General features: G+C 39.5%; 1 annotated feature.

Annotated features, from left to right (window-relative positions):
• Positions 370-664: an enhancer, noted in NCBI's record as "tiled region #9567; HepG2 Activating non-DNase unmatched - State 13:Ctcf, and K562 Activating non-DNase unmatched - State 24:Quies". NCBI's record gives its function as "activates a minimal TATA promoter and a strong SV40 promoter by Sharpr-MPRA in HepG2 and K562 cells {active_cell/tissue: HepG2 | K562}" and the evidence as "EXISTENCE:reporter gene assay evidence [ECO:0000049][PMID:27701403]".

Raw genomic sequence — 7,789 nt, 5'->3', positions numbered from 1 at the left:
TGTCTGTCTTTAAAACAGGGTTTCTCACCCTCAGCAAAATAAAGCCTAGGGTAGATATTTCTTTGTTGTGGGGGTCTGTCTTGTGCTCCCCACTATATGCCAGTACCACCCTCTCTGTTGTGAAAAACACAACCAATATTATCTCCAGAGATTTCCAAATGTCCCCCTTGGAATAAAATCATCCCTAGTTGATTACCACTGATTTAAAGTTTCTTCACCTGATAGTGAACTAGGAATGGATTTACTTTGAAAATGAATTCAGGAGGCAGTGAAAACATTAACTTTGATGAATCATGAGGTACATATTAAAAGATGTCGAAAATGGCCACATATATATACCTGAGCACAGCAGCCTTAAGAATAGGATTCAGAAAACAGGAAGAAATAGGGTAAGTTAGGCAGCCATTTTCATAAGTCAAACCGTCCCACAGAACCAGTCCTGTGAGCATGGCAGCAACTACAGTCCAATACTGGATGACTCACCTTGCACAGCACCTCCTGCTGCCGGGAGGAGACACAGCCTGCTGCTGCTGGCAGCGCACGCCAGGAAAGTATACCAATGGACGAACAACAGAAGGGATTCTCCTCTACCATCCTTTTTGTAACTATCTCTGGGTTCAAGTTTATCTGATTGTTAAGCTTATGTCACATGTCTGAGTCCTTCCTAAAAGAGTGAATAGGAAACTACGTTCTCCAATTTTAAGTTTGTACAGTAAGAAGTGGGCTCTGAAACCTTCCAATAACAGAAAGAAGGAGGAGCTGCTGGGAAGTCAGAAAGAGAAAAGAGAGAGAGAGAGAGAGAGAGAGAGAGAAAAAGAGAAAGAGAGAGAAAAGAAAAAGACAAATATCCACTACAAGTTTTTACCAGAGACAACAAACAGTTTTAACCCTTTGAAAAATGGAAGGAGATAACGTATCATTTAAAAAAAAAAACTTAGAAAACTTAAGTTTTACTCAGATGAATATTGAAGCAAGCTGAGAAAAGCTAAGAGGCCTATTATATCACAGTAGTGGAATATTACGTGGTTTGTTTCTGTTACCAGTAGAGCTTGCTAGAAACGGGGAGATGTCACTGCATAAAAGTAGAGTGCGCTCACTGGGAAACTGCCCGAAAGGATAGAAGGAGAATGATTATAGTCAAGACTCTTGGAGGACAGTTTTAGACCTCCAGCATCCCTAAAACCCTCATCCCTGCAATTCAAGCCAGCTTCTCTCTGTCCCCCCACTTCCTCCTTTTACTGGCAGGCAATTTCAACTATCTAAGAGCTGTTTAAATAGAGTGATTACATTTCAGGAATGCCTGATGAATATCCAAACAGTCTTCAAAGGAATGTAGATTTATCTCTCATTTACATGTTCCAGGAGGAAGTTTACAGCCCTATTTCCTAACCTCTTCAAGGGACAGAATCAAGACTGGGAGAACTAAAACTCTCCTCCACTGTGATCTACTAGATGAAGGCTTCTCCAAAAGGAATACATCAAAGAGATGCAGTTTCTATTTCTGCATAAGTCCTGCAACAACGTGTTAACTCTATCATCAGTGCTTTCAAGTAAGTTACACATTGAATCACTCAGAAAAAAAGACTTGACCTTGTAAAACTTCCTTACTTTCAGCCAAGTTTCCCTCTTTACTTTTCTCTCTGGTGTTCTGCTGTGCATTGTTCCTACCTGTAGCTAGTGAGTCAAAAATACACCTGAACTGTGAAATTGGCCCTAAAGACTGGTTGGAGCCTCCTTTCTTCTGCTTATGGATGCAGAGAACTTCTCTGGAAAGAATTTGTTTCTTGTGATAACCAAAAAGTCCTTTTGACTTACTCCATTGTGTCCACTAAAAAGTTGAAATTGATACATTGGTTGGTCCTTGTATCCAGCTCCTCCCAAAAAGCAGCCTCTTTTCTTTTAAAGAAAAAAAGAGGGGGAAAGATAATGAAGATAATGGATCAATCTAGAAATAGCAAAGGACTGATTCTACCAATAAGCTGTAGGAGACAGAAGCTTATTTCTCATTTCCTCTAGCAAAGAAGTCGATATATATTTGATTGAAGCAACAAAGCCGCCTGTTATTTTTTCCAAATGTTTTTTTCTCTGCCTTTAAATCAATTATCTGAATGGATTAGGAGGAGAAAGAGAGAGAAATACCTTGTAATACAAATTTGGTTTTACCTTTCAACAATAATAAGCTATCTGGTTTAAAATTTCCCTTTTATTCAGGTAAGTTTAAGGACCAGTATATTATATGGATTACTTAGGGTGCTTTGAGCTATAAGTAATGGAAATCCCTAGTGAAACTAGTATAAATGTGAAAAATTTTGTTATCTGATACAAAAGGAAATCCCAAGATAGTATGAACCTCAGAGTCATTTGATTTAGCAATTCACAAAGACTCTGGGTTTCGGTATTCTTCCAGTTCAACATGCTTGAGGATGGTTTCATTTCCAGGATGGTAGCAAGATAGCAGTCAAGGTGATCAACATGGACCTGACATACTCCAGAGGAAAAGGGCGTGTCTTACTGTGGTCTTCCAGAAAATATGAATAAACTTTTCATAGGTGTTTCCCAATACAATTTTCTTTACTTCTTAATAGTCAGTATTGGATCCCATATCTTCTCTGCATACTTAGACTCATGGTTCACAATTAGACAATAATACTATGAGGCATTTTTCTTGTCACAATGTCTGGATACTCTATCGATATTTCGCAGAACATATCTGGGCTTCTAAATATTTAGCAATGCATGGACACCCCTGCACAAGGAAGAATAGTATCAACTAAAATGTCAAGAGATCCTTTTTGAGAAACACTGTCCATGACCTAATCTGGCATTCTTTGCACAGGAAATGGTTTTAGTTTTCCTGTAAGCACATGAATGTAGAGCAGATACCTGAAAAAAATAAAAAGATTTTGCTATTAAGCAAAAACAAGATGGCAATGCATTCTGGAGAGGCAATAAGTAGTGTTGGCTATATTATATTATCACCAACTAAGAAAAATGCTATTTATTCATTTATTAGTTTAACAAATTTTCTCATTTAAAAAAAAATCTGTTTGGGATTCACAGAGGTTTAAAAAACAATTTAGAGACTATTGTAATAACCTGGTTTGAAATTACATGAATATGAACTAAGACAGCGGCAGAGAAGATGGAGAAAAATCAACTGATTTTAGAGGAAAATCAATAAATACATCTTGGGAAGAGACCAGATTTAAGGAATTTGGGTGAACTCTTGGTCTATGGAAGTCTAAAGCTATCCACTGCATCCCAGTCACTTCCTCAGAGCCACTGAAAAATGGCATCCTGCTTACTATCTTCCTCTCTGCTAGTATGTCTGTCATCTCCTTAATGAAATCAGTAACCCCAAATATAGCATACTCAGTGTTCTAGCCTCTTCATTTTTTTACATCCTCAACTCCAATTTTCTTGTTTTCCATGATACTGCTCCCACTCATTTTCTATGTTTATAACTTGGAAATAATTTAGTAATAACATTAATATATAATGTAAATAATAACTTACATCTTATTACTAATAGATATACCATTTCCAAAATCAAAATTTCAAAAACTTGCCTATATTTCCAGCTCTCTAACTTTGGTATCTTGATTCTGACAATTATTCAACTCCACCAACTTTAACTTTTAATCTAATTATTGAACCTCTTTTTACTGTACAATACCCCCATGTACTCAATTTATTCCTTACCTAAATGAGATTTTATGGCCCATCACTAAAATTATACCTTTGCATACAATTTTAGTTCTTCATCTTGCATCGTCTCAGCAGCCATGGTTAAATATAAGTATTTGTCTGCTTTTTATCTGAAACAGTGACCGAAAAATGGTGTTATTTTGCTTCTGTGTTTGTGACTAATTCTAGTAACTCTGAGGCCTCAATCTGACTAATAACATTCTACATCAATGGTTTTTGAATTAAATGATTCAATGGATGGTGATGTCATTAGCCAAGATAGTGCACACAAGAGAAGGAAGAGAATACAGTGGATTAAGAATTCAAGTTTCAACATGTTAAATTTCATGTTTTTGGGTTATCCACATGGAAATATTTTGTAGGGAGCTATATATTAAAGTTGGAGTATGGAAGAAAGAGAGAGAGAGAAAGAAAAAAGAAATGGAAGAATTGTTGGAGAAGTAATTATGTAGAACTTGTATGGAAGCCACATGAGTGGATGAGATAAGAGACATTATAGCCTTTAGAGACGGCTTTCCTGGTTTGATGGCAATTTATTTTAGTTAAACTCTAAAACTTGTTCATTCATCCACAAATATTTATTAGGCAATTACCTCTTCAGGCACTCTTCTAGGCACTTGAATATATATTTGTAAGTAAACAGAGTAAATAAATTTTACCTCGTGAAGTTTATATTCAAATGTAGGAGGACAAAAAATAAACATAATAAATCAGTAAATTTTACAGTATGTTGCCTGGTGATATGTGCTATGGCAAAACAAAAAGTAAGTAGAGTAGAAAAGGAGGATGAGAAGTGTGGAGAACAGTAGGGTAGAAATAGTAGAAACAGAATGCATTATAAAAGAGGATGATCAAGACAGGTGGCACTGACAAATTGAGTTTCTTTTTTTGTTGTTGTTGTTTTGTTTTTGTTTTTGAGACAGAGTCTTGCTCTGTCACCCAGGCTGGAGTGCAATGGTGCAATCTCGGCTCACTGTAACTTCCGCCTCCCAGGTTCAAGCAATTCTCCCACCTCAGCTTTCAGAGTAGCTGGGATTACAGGTGCTCGCCACCATACCCGGCTAATTTTTGTATTTTTTAGTAGAGATGGGGTTTCACCAGGTTGGCCAGGTTAGTCTTGAACTCCTGACCTCAGGTGATCCCCTGCCTCGGCCTCCCAAAGTGCTGGGATTACAGGCGTGAGCCACTATGCCCGGTCAAAAATGAGTTTCAAGCACAGACTAAAAGAAAGAAATCTAATAAGTTACCTAAGTAGATATTTGGTAGAAGAATGTCCTAACTGGAAGATCAGGTAAGCAAAGGGACCAAGGTTGGACTATCCCTGTTGTGTCTGCTGAGCAGCAAGGGAGGTGGTGTGGCTGTAAAAAAGTGAGCAATGAGAGGAAGAGTCGTAAGAGAGGAATTTGCAAAACAGGGAGAAGGAAAAAGGCAGTTTGAGGAGCAGGGTAGTGAAAAGATCTGACTTACATTTTAGAAGGATCTCTATAGCTACCATGTTGAGAATAAGTTTTGGGTAAAGCAAGGGGGAAAACAGGAGACTAACCGGGAAGCTATCACAGAAACCGTGCAGAGAGATAATGATAATGGGTTAGGTCAGGGTGGTATATGTGAAGGTACTGAGAATTCTTGAGATTCTGAGTATATTTTGGAGAGAGAGGCAACAGGGCTTTAAAATACTGGACAGAGTGTGAGAGAAAGAGAGGAGTCAAATATAAAGGCTTTTGGGCCTCTAACCTTTTAGCCTGAACAAATGGAAAGACAAAGTTGTCATCAACTGTAATGGGGAAAGCTGAATCAGTTTCAGTGGAAAAATCAGGAATTCAATTTTGGTGTTTGAGATGACTTTTAGACATCTAAAGAGTGGTGTTAAATAGGCAGTTGAATAATTAATTCCAGACTGCATCTACTAACATAGAGATCGTTGGTATAAAAATTGTGTTTAAGGTCACAAGGATGGTTTCTCTGGAGGTTGCAGGAAATACTCAAACCAGCTTCACTACGAATTGGCAGACCTTCGGTGCACTGAATAGCATGTGGCCTCTTCACAAGTAGAAAAGAAAGGATACAGAGCTGGCAAGGGTGCTGAGTGTAGTAAAATTAATTTCATCTTTAATTAATGCCAGACTCCTACTCTGGGGGGATATTGTGTGAAATAAAACTTGGACTCAAAATCCAGAATAACATCAATCCAACCAAGATGTACTCAAGCAGCTCCTATAAACAGTATGGAGTAATGATAATGATGAAAATAATAATATTAGAAGAATTGATGTAGAAGTGGTATCAGTTATCGAACATACTTTTAAAACACAGTAACAAGTACTTTACATGTATCAACTCATGAAATCCTTACAACACCACTTTAAGAGAAGTACTATTGCTGTCTCCATTTTACAGACGGAGGAACTGAAGCCCCAGAGAAAGGAAGAAACTTGTCCACTCTAAAAAACAATGGTCTAGGTAGGAGCCTAAGTTTCAACTCTTCCATAAACTGTGTAACCTTGAGTAAGTCCTGCCCCTCTTTGAGACTGCTTTTATAGAATTGTAAAGTGAGTTAGGTTGACCAGATGACCTTTAAAGACTCTCCATTTATAGTGCCTACATATGTTTCATTTTCTTAAGTCTCAATCCAGCTGCCCTGACACCATTTCCTGTAATCTTAGTTATAACTGTATACTGGTGTAATATCAACATTAGCAAAACCTGAATAAAGGTTTATTATGAACTAGGGTCTGCGTAAAGTACTTAAATTTTATTTCATTAATCTTCACAATCAATGAACAGAATATGGTGGAAATGGTGCTACCAATTCTGGGCCTACTCTTAACTGGCCTGAAAGCTTCCACTTTCTCCTTCTTGGATTGTTTACTCTTGGAGTATTTCATTAAGGAACTCAGATGCCAAACAGCAAGGTAATCCAAGCAGCCACGTGGAGAAGAACCAAGGGCCCCCAGTTTCCACCTCTAAGTCTGCATTGAGATTCCAAATGACCTGTCTTTCTAGCACCCAAGCTGACACCTCATGAAGAAAAAAAAATAAAACCAACTCAGCCCAAATAATTATGTAGTCAATTGTTATTTTAAATTTTGGGGTGTCACTCTGCCCCTACTGGGGGAGGCCTCCCAGATAGGCTACTGGGGAGTCAGGGACCCACTTGAGGAGGCAGTCTGTCCATTCTCAGATCTCAAACTCCGTGCTGGGAGAACGACTACTCTCTTCAAAGCTGTCAGACAGGGACATTTAAGTCTGCAGAGGTTTCTGCTGCCTTTTGTTTGGCTATGCCCTGCCCCGAGAGGTGGAGTCTACAGAGGCAGGCAGGCCTCCTTGAGCTGCGGTGGGCTCCATCCAGTTCTAGCTTCCCAGTCGCTTTGTTTACCTACTCAAGCCTCAGCAATGGCGGGCGCCCCTCCCCCAGCCTCACTGCCACCTTGCAGTTTGATCTCAGACTGCTGTGCTAGCAATGAGTGAGGCTCCGTGGGCATGGGACCCTCCGAGCCAGGTGCAGGACATAATCTCCTGGTGTGCCGTTTGCTAAGACCGTTGGAAAAGCGCAGTATTAGGGTGGGAATGACCCAATTTTCCAGGTGCCGTCTGTCACAGCTTTGCTTGGCTATGAAAGGGAATTCTGTGACCCCTTGCGCTTCCTGGGTGAGGTGATGCCTCGCCCTGCTTCAGCTCACACTTGGTGCACTGCACCCACTGTCCTGCACCCACTGTCCGACGAGCCCCAGTGAGATGAACCTGGCACCTCTGTTGGAAATGCAGAAATCACCTGTCTTCTGAGTTGCTCACGCTGGAAGCTGTAGACTGGGGCTGTTCCTATTTGGCCATCTTGGACCAAAGTCCAATGAAATACTATGCAGCCATTACAAAGAATGAGATTTTGTCCTTTGCAGGAACATAGATGGAGCTAGAGGCCATTATCCTCAGTAAACTAATGCAGGAACAGAAAACCAAATACTGCATATTCTCACATGTAAGTGAGAGCTAAATGATAAGAACACATGGACATATAGAGGGGAACAACAGACACTAGGGACTACCAGAGGGTGGAGGGTGGGAGGAGGGGTAAGACAGGAAA

Source organism: Homo sapiens, chromosome 3, assembly GCF_000001405.40.
Source record: "Homo sapiens chromosome 3, GRCh38.p14 Primary Assembly".
NCBI classification, from domain to species: Eukaryota; Metazoa; Chordata; class Mammalia; order Primates; family Hominidae; genus Homo; species Homo sapiens.
Note: the sequence above shows the minus strand (reverse complement) of the source record. Positions and strands in the feature narration are given on the sequence as shown.